Source organism: Homo sapiens, chromosome 12 (assembly GCF_000001405.40).
Source record: "Homo sapiens chromosome 12, GRCh38.p14 Primary Assembly".
Lineage (NCBI taxonomy): Eukaryota > Metazoa > Chordata > Mammalia > Primates > Hominidae > Homo > Homo sapiens.
The window spans coordinates 115,066,326-115,086,404 of NC_000012.12; the positions used below are offsets into that span (position 1 = coordinate 115,066,326).

A 20,079-nucleotide genomic window follows, 5' to 3' on the forward strand; every position below is an offset into this window, starting at 1 on the left:
AATTCTGTAAATCTTGGCCTGAGTGACCATCAGGATGCATAAAATATGACAGGAAAGAGGCCAGGGAGGCAGCGTTTGTGTAGAGCACAGCGTCCAGCAGTGGGGATGGGCAGACTGGGGGTCCTTGGGGACCCCTTGGGCTGGAGTTTTGCTGCAGAGAGAAGCCTCAGCAAAGCAACCTCTGTCTGTAATAGATGGTTATGGCCACTTCCATGCCAAGGTCTCAGGGGCATTGCCACAATATGGGACAGAAGTGACAAACTGCAGAAAATCGAAGTGGCCCCTGCCCTGCCCCTCACTGTTGGCCCTTGATTCCCAAGAGTGAAAGGAGGGAAGGGAGACCCATTCATTAGGGCTGACAGGGCAGCAGGAAGGACTTAGCTGTGATGAGAGGAAGAACTTCCTGCAAGGAAAGGTTATTAAGCCCTGGAATGAGTTATTGAGAGAGGTGGTGGAAGTAACTTCCTGATTTTGTGATCAAGATGGATAGTTATTGGTCTCGGGGAATCCAGCTCAGCCTCCCGGCATGGATTCCTGACCCCTTTAGGGAGATCACGCATCAGCAGCATCTGCCTCCAGTCATTTGCAAATGCTCAGCGATGATAAAACCCCCCTTTGACAACCCCCCTCTGCTTTTACTTCTTTTATTTATTTATTTTTTTCTATAAAATTATTACACGTTCACTGCAAATAAAGAAATCCAAATGCTCTAGGCAAGAAAAAAAAGTGAAAAAGAAAATTTCTCTTTTACTTCTCTCAGCAAATCCCACGGTGCTTTCTATAGACAACTACTGTTAAGATTTTGGGGTCAATCTTAATAGACTTCTTTTCTGAATGCATATTCACACAAACACGTGTACACAGTGATCTTTGTACAATTTTTATGTTTAAGCATAGATGGGTACATACTACATGCATTGTTCTGATATTTCCATTTTCTTCTGTTAATATCATGGGCATCTTTCCATGTCAGTACATATATTTCATTCTCATTTTTTAGACAGTTACTTCATATTTCATAATATGGATATGCCATAATTCATTTAAGCATTTCTCCATTGATTTACTTACAGATTGCTTTCCAAATTTTGTGAATGCGAAAATGCTGCAATACACTGCTATTACTTGGATCGCTGTACATATAACGACATTTCTTTAGAAGAGAGTTCTAGAAATGAAACTGCCAGAGCAGAAAGGATTTTCAATGCTGTCAGATAGAATGTAACTGCTCTTTAGAATGAGGTAAAGAGCTTATTCCTATTGTTAGTGAGGGTGTAGGGAAAATGATTCAACCTTCACCAACAATGGTTATAGCACCTTAAAATGTCTGCCTATGGCTTATCCCATGTGTATGCATCTCTTGTTTCTAACGTGGTTGACCGTTACTGTATATCTTTACTGACTACTCATATGTTTTACCCAGTTACTTCTACCAGTTTTTTGTCTTTTTTTTTTTTTTTTTTTTGAGACACAGTCTCGCTCTGTCGCCCAGACTGGAGTGCAGTGGTGCGATCTCAGCTCACTGCAACCTCCGCCTCCCAGGTTCACGCCATTCTCCTGCCTCAGCCTCCCGAGTAGCTGTGACTACAGGCGTGTGCCACCATGCCTGGCTAATTTTTGGTATTTTAGTAGAGTCATGGTTTCATCATGTTGCCCAGGCTGGTGGCGAACTCCTGAGCTCAGTCAATCTGTCCACCTCAGCCTCCCAAAATGTTGGGATTACAGGCGTGAGCCACATCGCCCTGCCTTAGCTCCCACTTCTAAGTGGGAACATGTGGTATTTGGCTTTCTGTTCCTGCATTAGTTTGCTAAGGAGAATGGCCTCCAGCTCTACCCAGGCCCCTGCAAAGGACATGACCTTGTTCTTAGTTGTGGCTGTGTAGTATTCCATGGTATGTCTTTCAGACTATCTTACATGTTGGAAAGATTTTCTTCCACCCTATGCTTTCTTTTATTTTCTGTCTTTTCTTTTCTCTTTTATTCCTTTTTGAGACAGGGTCTCACTCTCTCACCCAGGCTGAAGTACAGTGGCACTATCATAACTCACTGTAACCTTGACCTCCTGGGCTCAAGAGATCCTCCCACCTCAGCCCCTTAAGTAGCTGGGACTACAGGTGTGCACCACCATGTCTGGTTAATTAAAAAAAAAATTTGTAGAGACGGGGTCTCAGTATGTTGCCCAGGCTGGCCTTGAACTCCTGGGCTCAAATGATCCTCCCACCTCAGCCTCCCAAAGTTTGGGATTATAGGCGTGAGCCTCCATGCACTGCCCTATGCTTTATTTTCTTTGTATTCCTTTTATTAGTTAATTCTTCTGCATAAAAACTATATTAAAATATGTTTTGCTATAACTTGTTAACTAAAACAATTTGTGTTTATTGTAGAAAATGTAAAAAATAAATAAAATGGACAAAAGACAATATAAATACACAACACTATTGAACTGTATGCTTAAAATAGTTAAGATAGTCAATTTAACGTTATGTGTATATTATCACAATTTGAAAAATAGGACAAAAGAAAAAAATCACAATTTTACTTCCTAGGAAAAACAGTTCTTTCTCCTGGAGAAAGAACTTTCTTTCTCTGCATTGATAATGATGAATTGACTAGTTTCTAACCTTTTAACCTTTTACTACTTGCTGTGTCATGCCTATGTTTTAACATAAAAAAGCCAACATGATTGTTGATGGCTATGTGGTATTATGTGGTACTAATAAAACTAGTATGATAGTTTTTATTGAGTGGGTACTGTCAGACACTGAGCTAGACCCTTTTCAGGTATGCTCTCATTTAATCCTAACAATACAAAATACAAGACGGTTGCTATTATTAAAGCACTTTCTCAGATGAGAAAACTGGTGCTTATAGAGGTCAAGTCATTCACAGCTGGCAGACAAGAGGTGAACTTGAATGCAGCCCCCACACGCTCATGATATTCTTTCTAGTGTCAGGGGCTATGTGGTACCTAACCCATCCTCAATTCTTGAAAAGTTGGCTGCTCCCAGTGTCCCGTTCATCCTACCAATTGTAAATCATCCTGTAATTCATTCCTTCATTCCTTTTTCTTTCTTAGACGCAGGGTCTTACGCTGTTGTCCAGGCTGGAATGCCTGGACTCAAGCAATCCTCCAGCCTCAACCTCCTGAGTAGCTGGGACTATAGGCATGCACCACCACACCTGGATAATTTTTCAATTTTTTTTGTGTGTAGATACAGGATCTAGCTATGCTGCCCAGCCTGGTATCAAACTTCCGGCCTCGAGCGATCCTCCCACCTTGGCTTACCAAAGTGATGAGATTACAGGCATGAGCCACTCTATGCCCGGACCCCATTCCTTCTTATTATCATCTTATCCATTTTATGTTCTTGACTGTCCCTCCTTTTCCTGCCTTTTCAACACTCATAACCCCATGCGGGGAAGCATAGTACAGGTAAGAGCATAGAATCCTCACATCTGAGGCCTGGCTCCATGCTTTTCTACCTGTGCAGCCTATAGCTAGATATCTAAAATCTCTTCATCTTAATATCCCCACCTGCACAGTGGAGGTGATATTAACAGTCTCTATTATAAGGTGTTTGTGGGAGCCAGATGTGGTGGCTCACGCCTGTAATCTTAGCACTATGTGAGGTAGAGGCATGCAGATCCCTTGAGGCCAGGAGTTTGCGACCAGCCTGGCCAACATGGCAAAACCCCATCTCTACTAAAAATACAAAAATTCGCCAGGTGTGGTGGCGCATGCCTGTAATCCCAGCTACTTGGGAGGCTGAGGCAGGAGAATCGCTTGAACCCAGGAAGCAGAAGTTGCAGTGAGCTGAGATCGCACCACTGCACTCCAGCCTGAGTGACAGCGAGACTCAATAATAATAATAATAATAATAATAATAATAATAATGTGGTGTGGAAAATACACACACATGCTCTCTCTCCCTTTCTCTCTCTCCCGCTCTCTCTCTCACCCAAACACACACTCATACATTGACACACATCCATACATATATATGTACCTATTGTATTAGTTTCCTTTTGCTGCTGTAACAAATTGCTACATACTTAGTGACTTAAAACAATAAAAATTTATTTTCCAGGGTTCTGGAGGCCAGATGTCCAAAATGAATCATATAGGACTAAAATCAAGGTGTTGGTAGGGCTGGTTCCTGATTCAGCAAAAAATCAGCCCTTTGCCTCTTCTAGTTTCTAGTGACTGTGGCAACCCTGACTCAGGACTGTGTCACTACAGTTTCTGTTTCTGCATCATATCACCGTCTTCTCTCCTATAGTCACATTTCTTTCCTGCTTCTCTCTTTAAGGACACTCTTGATTGCATTTAGGGCTCACCAAACTAATCCAGGATAATCCCCCCACCTCGAGCTCCTTAATTTAATCATGTTTGCAAAGACCCTTTTGGCACACAAAGTCGCATATTCACTGGCTCCAGGGATTAGGACCTGTTTATTTCTGGGGTCTTTATTCAGCCTAGTATATACTTATCTTTTTAAAGTAACTCCTGCTATTGGGGGGCAGATATTTCTGATTCTTCCAACAGGCCTTGGTATCTGTGATAGGAAAGGCAATGCACTTCTCTTTATACATTTTAACCAAAAAAGTAATTGTTTTGGAAAATATGGGTTCCTTAATTCTGTAAAGTTCTTTCAAAATAACTTTTTTTTTTTTTTTTTTGAGATGGAGTCTTGCTCTGTCACCCAGGCTGGAGTGCAATGGCACGATCTTGGCTCACTGCAACCTCTGCCTCCCAGGTTCAAGCAATTCTCCTGTCTCAGCATCCCAAGTAGCTGGGATTACAGGCATGCACCACCATGCAGGGCTAATTTTGTATTTTTAGGAGAGATGGGGTTTCACCATGCTGGTCAGGCTGGTGTCAAACTCCCGACCTCAGGTGATCCGCCCACCTCTGCCTCCTAAAGTGATGGGCTTACAGACATGAGCCACCATGCCCAGCCTCAAAATAACCTTTTAGAGCACTAAAACATAAGGTTACCCATCGGTAAAAATTGATGATGATTTCCTTCATACACTCAAAAGATTGCCCCTTGTGGTCACCTCCCACCCCTGCTCTGCTGAGCCTTAATCCCCCATCACCTCCTTCTGCTCCAAGATCCTTCTTACCTTTTGGTTTGCTCTCAGAGGTCATCTTGCAGCCTGCTTCAGGGAGAACATGGAAACCACGACTTCTTGGCTCAACTTCCTCCTTTTCTACTCCAATCCTACTATGAACCATAACTAAAATTTCAAAATTTCGCCTCTTCTTTCTCCCAAAACAAAAGGGAAGTCCCTCTCCAGTCCAAGATGACTCCCTTTATTTGAATATCAACCCAACTCACCACTTTTAGGGACCTCTCAACAACTTCTACACGACTTTTTAAAAATTGTGTTCTGTAAAATACAAGGACCCTGTAATATGTCAACAGAGGCTCGGAAGGGGAAACATGTCTGTGTATGTGTGTTTGTATGTAAGTATGTATCTATCCATCTATGTGTCTAACTATCATCTATCTGCCTGTTCACTCACCCGTCCGTTCATCCATTCATCCACCCATGCATCCCATTATCTATCTGCCTACCTACCTACCTATCATCTGTCTTTCTATTATCTTCTGTGATCAAACATGTTGGAAGCTCACCTCTTCCCCATTCTTCACACACACCCTTATATATCCTTCAGCCTGACCACCTGGAAAATCCACAGGATATATTAGCATGATAAAGACCCCAAGAAAAACTGCAGCACAAACAAAACTAACAAGAGCCTATTTATTTTTGTCTCTTTCAAAATTTCCCAAACTGAGTTGAAGAAAGACCTTCTTTTGTGTGTGTTTTCCTGATTGTGTGTTTTCTGAGTCCGGTGTGCCTTGGATCACCTTTTGGGAAGCACTCAGTTGTGTGCTTCTTGGATGGAATTCCTCACAAGGCCAGTGCTTTTTCCTGTATTGCCTTGCCGAGCTCTTGATCTTCAATTGCTACCACAAACTGAGCACATACGTTGTGCACCAGTTATGTGGTGCTCACGAGTGGTCTACATCTAACAACTTTATGCAATAATGTATCATTATACTCATCTTACAGATGAATAAAGAGAGGCTGAGAATATCAGGAGTCTGCTCCAAATCAACCGTGAGTAGCAGAGTCAGAGTTCGGACCCATCAGGGTGCAAAGTTTTCATGCACCCGGAGTCTGTGATCTAACCGCTCCTTTCCACTCCTAGAAGCTGAAAAGCCAAAAGCTACACTTTTATCTTTTACAACACGAAGGCTGTCACTAAAGAAATCTCATCTCTCAGTTAATTTCTTCAGAGGATGCCAGTTTCCTAAAATCCTACCTGTCTCCAGTTCATGAGGAGCTGAAACTGTGTTTTAAATCCAGAGGGAACGGCCAACAGCCCCTCTTCTTTGGTGGCGCATTTATAAACAGATGCAAGACAGGAAATAGGTATCCCACACCCCTGCCCCAGGGTGTCTGTGGACAGAACAAAGAGCAGGGTTCTGTGCCTAGCCAGCGTGCAGAGCCTATAATGTGATTGCTGCCTGATGGTGCGAAATGGATTCAAGGCTCGGGTCCATCTGGTTTGTGTATCGTGAACGAGCTGTTAAAGTGTCAGGACTTAACTTCTCTGGATTTGAGGAAGTCTCATGAGGTTTTATGGAGCAGTTAAGATGGGTGTAAACCTCACTGGCGGGATCAGCTTCTCCTATATGATCTGAGACGTGCATAGTTCATAGGATCAAGAAGCATGAGTTAGAAATAAGAGGATGGACCCCGAGAAAATTAGGGAGCTGAGATGTAGAATCCAGACTGCATTGAGTATCTGCCATCACAAGCAGATACTGTTTGTGAGCCTTAGTATCTCCTCTGTGACATGTGGACAATATTATCTTGTCCAATCCACAAGGCTGTTTGGATATGAAAGATAATGAGAGTTGTAAAGTTTCTTACTAATGGGAAGTGTGGTTACTAGCTTCCTTTCATTTCCTCCCTTGGAAATAGCTAGAAAAGGTTACAGGGACCTTGTCTCCTGTTCCTGTTCTCCCTCTCTCCTCTTCAGAATTAGGCAGTATCATCTTACTAAAAGATATTCAAGAATAACTTGCAGTTGCTGTGGGTTCTAGCCTTGGAAAGAATATAAGAACATGGCCCCAGGCTGAGTAAGGGGAAACAGGAGATGGAGTGGTTATAAAACATGTCTGCAAATCCCTCGATACACTTCTCATAAAAAATGGCACTGAAATCTTCTCTCCTTGACTATGTACCAGGCTAACAAATAGAATATGGTAGAAGTTATGGTCTATGACTTTTGAGGCTAAGTTGATGATAGTCGCTCTAGCCCCTGCTCTGGTTCTCCTGCTTGGGACACTCACCCTTGGATTTCTAGGACTTGATACATCTCTTTTTCTCTCCCTTTCATCCACATCTTGGTTTTCTTGCTCTCTTGTATAAGACCTCATTTTCTTCTTCTGAAAATGGGTCTGCTGTGTGTGGCTGGGGTTGGAGATGAGTCTACAGAGAGTCCTATAACTACATTCTTACCATTTTCCTCTCCCAGTTTCTTGATGTAAATTTCAAGGAAAGAACTCCAACTGGCTCTGTTTGGATCATGTGCCCATTCATGACCCAATCAATCACTGCAACCAAAGGGATGAAACACCATTATTGGCCAATATAGGTCACATGTCTAGCCCTTGGGCTTTAGTGGGGTAGGGGTGTCAGGAACCAGATGTAATGAGTAGAATTACTAATGGAGTAAGGGACATGGAGAAGAGACAGTTCCCCCCAAAAAGTGGGTGATTTGTGCTCAAAAAGTGGGGAGAGATGTGCAGCAATGACAAAGAGAAGACATTCATGTCAGCAGATATCACATATATAATTTTCTAGCTGTCTTTCCTACTCAATTGTAAGCTCCATGGGTCACAGGGTTGTATCCTCAGGGCCTAGCATAGTGGCTGGTACATAATAGGTCCTCAGGATGACCCTCAGTGCTTTTTCTACCATGTTAAGCTGGGATTGGCATGAGCCCTACACAAACAGGTGAGGATTTTCTTGGTGGAATTAGCAACGATATTGCACCTATAGGATTAGAAACCACTCACTGAGTGCAAGACCTTAAACTGTTACTTATTTTCTCTGAGCTTGTTTTGTTATCTGTAAAATGGGCTCAATAATAAAACTTACCTCAAAGGGATACAGAATGGACTCGGGGGAAAGTATATGAATGAGCTAGAATGCTAATACCAAATAATGTATTACTATCTCCAAGAGGTCTCTGGGTGAATTTTTCACCTTCTCCCTGGAGCCCAGCTAAAGGACTGGACCTTGATGATTCAATGCCACCCAGTTACACTTGCCGAAATTCACTCTGTTTTTCTCAATGTTCACATCCGTCAAATGGGAATACTGATTCCTTCCCCTTCTTACACCAGGCCATAATTCAAGGTGGAATGCCTTCCGGATGGAGGGTGCTGATTGGAGTCACTTCCTCCTCTCTCTGCTGTTATGATTCATTATCTTGCAGTGCGGCTCTTTGGTTCAGCATCAGCAGGCCCTCTGGGAAATAGGTTTGGAGGGGGGAAGAACATGGGAGAATAATATGCTTTTTATTTCTAATGGCATTTCCCCAACCACTGCTTCCTCCTGCACTCCGAAGCATTAGGGAATCCAACTTATATGGTGAAGCTAGCAGCTTGCTCAGTGACAGAGGAACTGGCAGGGGTGGGAAGGCCAGGTTCAGGAGTCTACATGGCAGTTGTGGGAGGCAGGGAGCTCTAACTCTGTTCTAGGAGGTTCATAATTTGCTCTAAATTTTTTGGAGTAAAATCTAGGCTTCAGTGATGACTCTTCCACTTACCAGCTGAGGGGCTTCTCTGAGCCCGTTTCCTCACCTATAAAATGGGACTAATAGTCCCTGCTCCATCCGTATCAATGAGACCATGAGAGGGAGAGCGTCAGGAACCAACTCCCTCCTCTCTCTCCCTCAAATGTCTCAAGACAGGATGCTCCTAATTTCTCCAGCTCTTTTCCTTCAAATTCCTTTTGTTAAAGTCTCAAACTTTTATAAGACACATGGCAAAATACTCCAGAACCTATTTCAATATCTGAGGGTTTTATTGAGCACCTACTGGTGCCAGGCACTGAATTAAGCATTAGGGGTACAGCACTATGGCCCGCAATAATAGTCCCTTTCCCCATGGGATCTTAAGTTGAAGAGACAAAGGTTAAATAAATAAATGATCACTCAAACAGATATGTGATAGCTGCTGACATGGATGTGCATTCTTTTTTGTTGTTCAACATCTTCCCCCCACTTTTGAGCCTAGACATTCCACTTTCTTTGAGGAAATTTCTCCTTCTCCATACCATGTGGTTAGCTGGGCCTGTTGATAATACCTAGCTGCATCCATTTTCTCAAGGGTCCACATGTGACCCATGCTGGCCAATCACAGTCCCTTATTCTGGCTGCTGTGACTGGTTCAAAGGTGAACACATGACCCAGACAGAGCCAACTGGAGTCCCTTCCTGTACGTGTGTATGGGAGGAAGGAAATGGAAAGGATGTTAGTATGGAGCTGTCTGTTTGCAGACATTCCTTATTTACCTCCAGCCACATGGAGAAGAACGGTTTTTCAGGAGAAAAAAAAATGATGAGTCAACATACAAGAGGGAAGCAGAACCAAGATTTGGACAGGGAGGGAGAGCTGTACTTTAACATCTCCAAAGTCTGTGGGTAGCGCCATCCCTACATTTAGCTGTCACATGCAACAATAAAGCATCTTTTAAAATTAGTCTAGCTTGATTTGGGTGCCTGTGACTTACAATATAAAAGGGTTTGGATCTAAGCAAGTGCTTTGCAGGAAGCACGTAGAACTATACAAGGGTATAAGAGGAAGAATGTGTGTGTGTGTGTATATATACATATATATATATGTAAGTCCTATAGTTATAGGATTTTACTGTTACAGGCTTATTGTAGCCTGAAACAAGAAACAACTTCAAGTTCAATAGTCAGCGTGCTTGTTTCTGGACATTTATCAATCACATGCCGCCCCAGGAAATTTCTCACTAACTCCGTCTTTCTATTTTCTCTTGCCTCCACTTATATTCTCAAATCTCCTTCTTTCCAGACCCTTCTCTCTTCTTACCACTTCAATCTGTCCTTGAGATCTTACCTCCCATCTCCGATCTGCCTGCAGAAGCTAAAAGCCCATTCAGGTATCATACAGAGCAGGGGTTTTCAAACTTGAACATGCATCAGAATCGGAATCACCTGGAGGGCTTGTGAAAACACAGAGTACCTGGTCCCAACCCTGGAGTTCTTGACTCAGCAGGTCTGGGACCTGAGAATCTGCATTTCTAACAATTTCCCAGGCGATGCTGATGGTGCCAGTCTGGGGGCCACACTTTGGGAACAATTGCTGTAGAACAATTGGTTTTTCTCAGCCCCATTTCCACCATCCAGCCCCCATATGATAACCTCTTCTTTCTCCACTAAAGAGCTATTCCGCATTGCACTCCATCCCAAACCAAATAACCATCTCTTTGCCTCGGTTTACTGATCTGCAAAGTGCAGATAATAATGGTACCCACCTGATAGGATAGTTTCACATAATGTGGTTAGAAGAGTTATTGGTGCATAGAACACAATACTTCAGTGTTAGCTATAATTTTTAGGCACTTTGCATTTCCCAAAGATGGTCAACATCTCCCATCCCGTATGTTTGTCTCATAGTGTAACATTGATGCTCCTCCCATTGTGTGTGAGAACTATGTCACCTTGAACCTGGGGGGACCTTTGTGATTGCCTTGACTAATAATAGACTAGAAGAAGTGATGCTATGTGACTGCTGAGGCTAGTTCATAAAAATGCCATGCACTCCCTCCTTGTTCTCTTAGAGGACTCATTCTTGGAGCCCAGTCTCCATACTGTGAGGAAGCCCAAAAGGCACACACTAACAGAACACGTGGAAAAGCTTCAGCCTCGTGTAGATGTTCTGGTCAACATCCCAGTTGATGTCACAGCCAACAGCCTGCATCAAGTGCCTGACACGTGAGTGATGACACCTCCAGATGATTCCAGCCCCTAGCCATTGGATCACCCCCAGCTGTCAAATCTTCCAGCTGAGGCCCCAGACATTGTGGGGCAGAGACAAGCTGTTCCCATTGTGCCCCATCCAAATTCCTGACCCACAGAATGAATGAGCATAAATAAAATGGTTGTCTTATGCCATTAAGTCTTGTAGTGGTTTATTATATAGCAGTAGTAACTAGAACACTTATGATTAATTGATAATATATATTACTTATCCCAATAGACAAATCATCAAACATTACCATTCCCCAAGAAAGTAGGGAGTAGGGGAGTCCCCAGATTTTCTTTTTGCTGCCTCACTGTGGTGAAATGACAGGGACAGAGTGCATAGTGCTCTCTTTGCTTATGTCTCCCTCTCTCCCTCTCACCTGCTGCCAGGGCCCAGGCCTTACCCTCTCCTCACTGCCTGTCTCCTATTTCTTTGGCCCTTCTCTAGATTCCTATCCTGAATGTCCTTGGTGGGTGTGGCAGTGGATGGTGACTGCCTACTGCAGGATGGTGAAACCCAAACCAAATTTTCTCTTCCCAGCCAATGGGACCTGCTATTCTGAGTCTGTGAACAGCCAGCTTAAAAAACTCTCCAATGGCTCCCAGTTGCTTTTAGGACAAAGGCCGAGATGCTTCCCAGAACCTACAAAGTCCTGTGGGTCCTACCTACCCCTCTTCCCTCAAAGTGTGCTTTGGGCTTCTGCACTTTCAGTACTCCAGCTGCACTGAGTGCCTTTTGATTCCTTGAATGCTGCATCAGGCCTCAGACACCAGGCCTTTGTCCATGCTGTTCCTTCCGCCTGGGTTGCTTTTCCCTTCCCAAGTTGACTCCTACACCGTTTTCAGATCTCGGTGCCAGTCTCCCTTCTGCAAGAACCTTTCTGGGCTCCTGCTATTGCATGTGCCTGGAGTACTGCATCCTTTGCCTCTTGCAAATTTACAACCATACCTTGAGCATTGGTTTGATGTCTGTTTGCACCATAGATTTTAAGCCTTTTAAACCTTAAACTTGCTTGTTTTTCCCCCTCGTATTGCTCCACTAAATGTAGCGTGGTGCTTGGCACATTGTAGGTGCTGAATAAATATTTGCAGAATAAATGATTAAACCAACACACATAATAACCTTTGTTCTGTGCTTGATCTTCTGGTCAAATTTTTGCAAGCAGTAGAGCCCTTCCAGAAATGACAGAGAAGAAATGCAGTTGTGATGTGAAGTTAGGGCATGCAGAATTCTACCTATTGTACTTTGCATTCTCAACAGGAGCCTTGGAAGAGGCGGCAAGGGTGGCAGTTCAGGGACAGACTGCCTGGGCTGGCGTTCTGATTTGCCGAAGGTAGTAAGCAACTATCTCTGTGACCTTGAACAAAGTACTGAACTGCATCTCTGTAAAATGGGGAGAATAATCATTCTACTTCATAGGATTGTTATACGCTATAAGCGCTAACATATGTACAACCCTGAGACCTGAGCCTAGCTCACAATAAGGGCTCTGAGTTTGCTGTTGTTATTGTTGTTGTTGATTATTACGGTTGTTGTTGTTTTTATTGTTATTAGAAAGACTCCACTTTGTCAGGCTGCTCTGTCTCCATCCTATTGCCCTCTCCAGGTGCCTATACAGAGTCAGCCCTTGTGCTGCTCATTTACAAATAGCTGCTTGGTGTCTCCCCTCATCTCCACTCCTCTGGATTCCAGAACTTCCCACACAGGAGCCCAGCCCTGGACAGTGACGGTGACCCATGGAGAATGCATCATGCCTGTCAGGGTCCTGTTGGTTCAGCGGCTGGGGAGGCAGTGCCCTGCTGGGAACGATCACTTCCCATGAAGATGGATGGCTTTCTCTGTCCCGGCGACACTAACTGCGAGAGATGGGGGAACCTGCTGCAGGAGGGAAGGGGCAGTTTGTATTAAGTGGTCACTGGGCCCAGTGGGGAAGTATGAGGGGGGCATGGAGGCTTATTTCACTGTTTCAATAACACCAGCCTTGCAGACTGACAAGACTTCTCCCCTCGGAGAGCTAACTGCTCAGCCGTCCACGTGTTTCTTTGCACACTGGTAAAGCCCAGGGGTTACCGGCATGCATTTTGGAATCAGCTGGCTTGTGAATAAGTCCTTGCTTTGCCGTTTCCTTGGCTGCTAAATTTGGACCCACTATTTAACTTCCCTTTGGTCTCTGTTTCTTAATGAAATAATAGTATCCACCTTGTTAAGTTACGCTGTGAAGTCTGAGAGACCTGCATGTGAAGCCCTAAGAGAGGCTGGAGAGCAGGGGTGCCAAACGTGTTCAGTAATGGATCAGCAGATCAATCTTTTGGGCTCTGTGGTCCGTAAGATCTCTGTTGCAGATACTCAACTCTGCCAGTGTAGCCCCAAAGCAGCCATAGATAATAGATACATAATCAGGCATGGTTGTGTTCTAATAAAACTTTACATAAAAAGCAGGCAACGGTGAGATTTTGCCTGTGGGTTGTAGTTTGTAAGCCCTGGACTAAAGCCTAGTCCTCAAGAGCAGGGGCCATGGATCCCGGCTGCACCTGGGTTTAGATCTCAGCTCTGACACTCACAAGCTGTGTGAGCTTTCTTCACCTGCTGGCAGTTGTAAGAATTTTGTGAGTCATACATTGATAGGCCAAGGACTTGCAATGGTGTTTAGGAAACGTTAAACACAACTTAAGTGTTTGCTCTCATTTTCATTATTACAGAGTGAGTATAAAACAGGTCCCAGGCCAGGTGCGGTGGCTCATGCCTGTAATCCCAGCACTTTGGGAGGCCGAGGCAGGCGGATCACAAGGTCACGAGATCGAGACCATCCTGGCTAACATGGTGAAACCCCGTCTCTACTAAAAATACAAAAAATTAGCTGGGTGTGGTGGCGGGCATCTGTAATCCCAGCTACTCAGGTGGCTGAGGCAGGAGAATGGTGTGAACCTGGGAGGTGGAGCTTGCAGTGAGCCGAGATCGCACCACTGCACTCCAGCCTGGGCGACAGAGCGAGATTCCATCTCAGAAAAAAAAAAAAAACACATGGTCCCTGCCCCGTATACCTCTTAGTGTTTTTCCAAAAGGGCTTCTTCTGCAGGTTTATGATCTGACATACTTCTATTTGGCTAAAAATAAAAAATGAAGAGATGAGAGAGGTGGCTTGCACCCAGCTACCCAGGAAGGAGGCTGAGATGGGGGTGTTGCTTGAGCCCGGGAGTTCGAGGCTGCAGTGAGCTATGATCACCCCACTGCACCCCAGCTTGGGTGACAGAGTGAGATGCCATTGCTAAAAAAAGAAGTGCTCAGGAAATATGTGTGGAATGAATGTATGATGCTTAAAGAATTGGCACACAAAGAGAGTCAGATAGCTTAATGGTTAAGAGAGGTGCTCTGCAGCCAGCCAACCTGGGGTTGAATCCTAGCACGGTTCTTTTCTATCAGGTTGGTGCAAAAGTAATTGTGGTTTTTGCCATTAAAAGTAATGGCAAATAGCTGTGAAATTTCCCTTGCCTAGCTTCTTTGAACATCTGTTTTCTTCACAATTTCATAGATTATTGGGAGGATTATGTGGGATAATGTCTTAAAGTGATGATGAACTCATCTTCATCAATCATTGATGATGATGGTGATGGTGGTGATGAAGAAAGAGGACACCTTGCCCTTGGTCAAATTTATTCTTAGTCACCCATCATTGGCTGCCAGAATACTGGGACCTGTGTTGAAGCATCATTTTTGGCACAGCCATCCCTGCTAAGACATGGGAGGAACTTCCCTGGAACATCCAGATGGAGGCTGGGGACCACACTCAAGGAGAACAGGCCTGTGAATGAGAAGATCTGGCTTCTCATTTTAGGCACAACAAACCCATTCCTCTGTGTCTCTGGGCAAGTCAATCCCTGCCCCTTGTCAGAGTCTGCACTTTCCTCTTCCTAAGCCAAGTGGGTGGACACAAGGGAAGGGAACTCAGATTCAATGAATCCTACATGTGGAGTCTGTTAACGTAGGACTCCCTAAAGACACCATGACTATACTTTTGTTCCTTCAAATCACCCTTTCAAGAACTTTCAAGTTTGTTAAGCCTTGACTGTTACCATTGGTGCCTAGTACTGCACCCAGTACATCGAAGGCAATTGAGTATATTTTCCCCCAAATAAATCATAAAATAACCGCTAACAATGAATTAGGACTTAATTTAAGGGATTTTGTTGAGTCAGATTCTCCTCTCTGAGATGAAGATGAACATACAAGAGGTTTGGGGAAGATGTGCAGAATCAGTAGCAGGGGAAGTGAAAGAAAGGAAGCAGGAGTGGGAAAAGGAAGAAGCCAGGTTTACAGTCTGAACAAGGGCCTCAGTCAACCCCACGGGGAGCTCTAAAGCCAGATAAATTTCAGAGTTTCCCCCAGTTAGGGTAAGGGATGCAGTTGTCCTGGGAAGATGGGGGATACTTGGATGACATAGCTCTCTTTGCGGCTATGGCAATTCCCAAAGAAGACTGACAGCAGAGGAGTAGCAGGTGGCAGCACCCCTAGGATGTGAGAGAATAGGTCCCTCACTCCCAAAGGGAGAGCTGGGTAGCATATTACAGTATCCACTACAACTATGTTATCCCTGTTTGCAAATGAGGAAATTGAGGTGCAGAGACATAATATAAATTGCTCAAGAGCTCAGCATTAGTAAGAAGAGTGCTAAAATTCCAATCCAAGTCTGTTTGGCTCCAAATCAACTTGATTCTTGTTATACTCAGAAGTTGCCAAAAGATACACTGAAGGGGGCATATTTGTCCAACTCTTCTGGTCAATGAGGGCAGCAGCAGAGTGGGTTGGCACAGAGAGCAATGGAGGGGAGAGGAAATAGGTCAAGAAACACATCAGACCAGAGCAGATATTTTAGTGAATAAGAATTTCTCCTGCCATTAAAATAATTAGCTGGTTAGAAAAGGTCAACCCCCAGAGGAATGAGAATGCCATCATTTACCTCTTCCTCCGAGACAGCCATCTTTGCTTCCTTCAAAGAGTAAATTCAGAGTGAGTCCTGGTTAAGAATCTTGGTTCTGGGGTTCAGGATATCTGGCTGTGAAGTTTTCTGTCTCCCTTTTCTAGCCGTATGGGCAGATTATTGACTCTGATTTTCTACCTCCTTATCAACTAAACGAAGGTATTAACAGTATTTACCTATGGCTGTTGTTGGAGCTAAGTGAGATAAAGTCTTTTTTTTCTTTTCTTTTTTTTTTTTTTTTTTGACAGTGTCTTGCTCTGTAGCCCAGGCTGGAGTGCAGTGGCATGATCTCGGCTCACTGCAACGTCTGCCTCCCGGGCTCAAGTGATTCTCCTGCCTCAGCCTCCTGAGTAGCTGTGATTACAGGTGTGCACCACCATGCCCAGCTAATTTTTGTATTTTGTATGTTTTGCCATGTTGGTCATGCTGGTTCTTGAACTCCTGAGCTTAACTGATCTGCCTGCCTTGGCCTCCCACAGTGTGGGGATTACAGTCTTGAGCCACCGGGCCCGTCCATGAGGTAAAATCTTTAAAGTGCCTGTCATCTTAGTAGGTGCTAAATACAGGTTACTACTAGACTTCATAACTTCAAATTCTGTACGTGGACCTGTTCTTTTGTCTCTTCTGAGTACAGTCTCCTGAAGATTGTTCTGACCAAACCTTTCTATGGAGAAAACAGAGCTGTTATTGCTTTAAGTGATTTGTAGGGTGTTTTGGTTTCAATAAAATGTGTATGGAGAGGTGACATTGTCTTAGGGATCAAAAAGATTAAACAGCAAACCTGCTATTTTTCTGTGTACACTTTCAGGAAAATCATTTCAATTTATGTTTTAAAAGACGCTAAGTGACAGCGATGCCTCATTTGAAATCAGAAAGAATGAACTTTCATTCAACACAACCATATGCTTTCTTTGATGGCTTGAATGGTTAGGGAATATGTGACATTAAATTCAGCAGTTTCCCACTCATCAAGCATGGTTTTTTCATAATTCTTGATTGGCATATGGTGTCTGAGCTTAGCTTGGACCCCAACTCCAGGAAGTGTAGATGCCTGCTGAAGAGGGGCTTCAAATACTAACTGATCAATCATTAAAATTACAGTGAGTTCATTTCAGTTCCCTTTAGATCAATCAGCACTCACTGAAGACCTCTATGTATGAAGGAAGGGGAAGAGAGAGGGAGAGAATGAGGAAAGAAGAAATAGGACTGGAGAGAAGGAAAAAAAAAAAAAGAAAAAGGCAGGAGAAAGCTGAGTCCATGTTTCATGGATAGACAAGGTTTCATCTGGAGTCATCTTTTCTTAGCTATGGGATCCTAAACACATTACTTAATTCTTTCAAACCTCGGTTCCCCTCATCTATAAAAAATGAAAACAAAATACCTATTTTAGAAAATTTTAAAGTCATAAGTGTATGAGATATGTGATACCAAGTGTGATATTCAATACAGAGCAGGTGCTCAACAATTTTTCCACCTTCTTCAGAATCATTAAAAAAAAAAACCAAACCATTAGCACTGCTTTTTTAAAACAGATGACCACTCAAGGACAGTCTCTTCGTAGAGGACTATCTGCATCATTTGCAGGACCTGGTGCCAAATGAAAATGTGGGTCCCTTGTTCTAGAAAACTCGGTTCAGGTATTGCACATGTTAAATGCAGGTGCAGGACACGAAATGGTGGAGGAGATGCCGATGACATGTCTCCTCTGCTCGTTGTCCCGTCACACTTCACATGCAACAAAAAGATACAATTATTAAGTGTTTTAGGGTGGTGACAGGGGAGCATCAGACCAAAGGAGGAGAAGCCCCTCAGCGTGTAGGCTCTCGGTGACTGCGCAGGTTGCAGGCTATGAAGCTGGCCCTGTCTCCATAACACAATTGAGGTGAAAAGCCTCCTGAATAGGCTGGCCTGGGGAAGTTTATCCCTGAGTTCCTAGTGCTTTCTTGCTGCTTTGGAAACCAACCTTTGATTTCTGCAATCCAGGAGATGATGCCATCTTTGATATCCAATGCCCTGCAGACACCTGTAGTCATTCTACCCTCACGAACTCCCTAGGAAGTGGTCACAATTATTAGCCCCAACCCACAGAGGGAGAAAATGAGGCAGAAAGCAGTGGCAAGACTTGCCCCAAATCAAATGGTTATTGGGCACTTGAGTTGAGATTCGAACCTAGATCTCTTTTGTACCAACCTCTGGGTAGCTGCCTCTATTTCACTGGACCACAGATGCTCCCAAACCCCCACACACCTGCACTCATGTGGACATGTCCAGTCCCCATGTCTCCACCAGACCTCTTCTAATCTAGCTCTGAACTTTTCAAAGACAATAAGTCTGAAGAGTGATACATTCAGTCAACTCCAAAAATAAAACGGATGCCGGTGGATACATCTATGAATGATACAATGTATTGGCTGGTTTCACTGTTAATTAATGCAGAGAAGAATCATTAAATCAGATCAAATTCATTTAAAAACAGTTCAGCTCTGCTCTGCTCGCCTCTCCTCCCCATTGTGAGGGCCGTATGGATGGCTGGGGGGAGGGAGGGAAAAGGGAACAGATACAGCGATTTAATTTTTCAAGTAACACTGTTCAAATAAAAATACATTTGTTCGAATGAGATTGCCCTGAAACAGCGTTTGCATTGATGGCTCTGAGAGTAATTCTATTAAGCCGGAGCATATTTTTCATCAGGAGGCAGGAAAAGAGGGCGAGAGAGTAGGGGAGAGAAAGAGGGACTGGAAGCCGAATGTAACCTTACAGAGCTGCAAAAATCAAACACTTTAACCCATTTTATCTCAAGGTTCTCCACTAAAGTTATTAACCATTCTGTTTCCTGCCATGGCATTCAGAAGGTTTTGCCTTATCTCAGACATGCTAGGCCTCTGGGGTTCAGCCAGGCAGGCTGCCACATCTGGGAATATACACCCAGTATCTGCTGGGGCCAGGAAAGTTGAGAATCATACAGGCTGTAAAGAGTTTTTGTCTTCATTGCTCCTGGAGAGAAAAACAGCTCAAGAAATGACTGAGTGTGTGTGTGTAGATGCATGCACACACACACGCATACACACATGCTCATACACACATACAGTATGCACACACGTGCACACCACATAGATATAGTATATATACACGTAAATACATATATACATGTACATACACATGATGATATATGCACATAATTTGCATATATTAAAAATTACCTTTGCATGAGTATATATGCATACCTACCCCATTCATATGCACATAGATATACATATGTATAAACATATACATATAAAATACGTATGTACATATGCATGCGAGGTGCATATATACACTTGCATACATTGTCATAATCACCTTTGGATGAAACTCGGCATGTACATGCATGCGCACATACACATATATGTATACAACATACATACACATATGCATATTATGCAATACACATTTACACATGCATATATAATATATATTCACTTTTGGATGACTTTGTATGTATATATACGCACACATATACACATTCTAACATGTACGTTTGTTGGAAGTTTGAAATCATCAATGAGTCTGAAAAATAAATTCAACTGTGATTTCTGGAGTGTCACCATATTCAGGACGCTGTGCTGAATGCCTTACAAACATGAGCTCACTGGGTCCTCACACTAACCATCAGATACTGTTATTTCCATTTTACAGATGAAGAAGCTGAGACTCACACAGGGGAAATGATTTTCCTAAAGTAAGTGACGGAGCAGGGGCTCTAACCCAGGCCTGTTTCAAATCTAAAACTCGGGTTCTTAATCGATTTTGTGTTTCTAAATCCATTTACAAATTCCCAGGAAATCTTGGATCAAATCACAGTTTGCCCGTTTTCTCAGCTTTTCCATCTATTCAATAGAATGAATGATTCCTGACCCATCCTGGAGTCAAGAAGTCTGAGAATGAGCTTGGCAGCCAGCGACAACCAACCTTTGATTTCTTCAATGCAGGACATGACACCATCTTAAATGCATAGAGTGAAAACGAAACTTATTGAGGTCCT

General features: G+C 43.5%; 1 long non-coding RNA gene across 2 annotated transcripts in view; it reads left to right on the top strand.

The window, feature by feature from the left end:
- LOC102723639 (uncharacterized) overlaps window positions 1–20,079 on the top strand; it is a 92,097-nt gene that overhangs the window by 53,184 nt on the left and 18,834 nt on the right. The window contains exon 3 of one of the 2 annotated variants that reach the window (XR_001749334.2): window positions 10,899–11,236. The exons of the other annotated variant lie outside the window; for it this stretch is intronic. This is a non-coding gene — a long non-coding RNA (uncharacterized LOC102723639). Of the gene's footprint in view, window positions 1–10,898; window positions 11,237–20,079 lie in introns of those variants that run through there. 2 annotated transcript variants of the gene reach the window in all.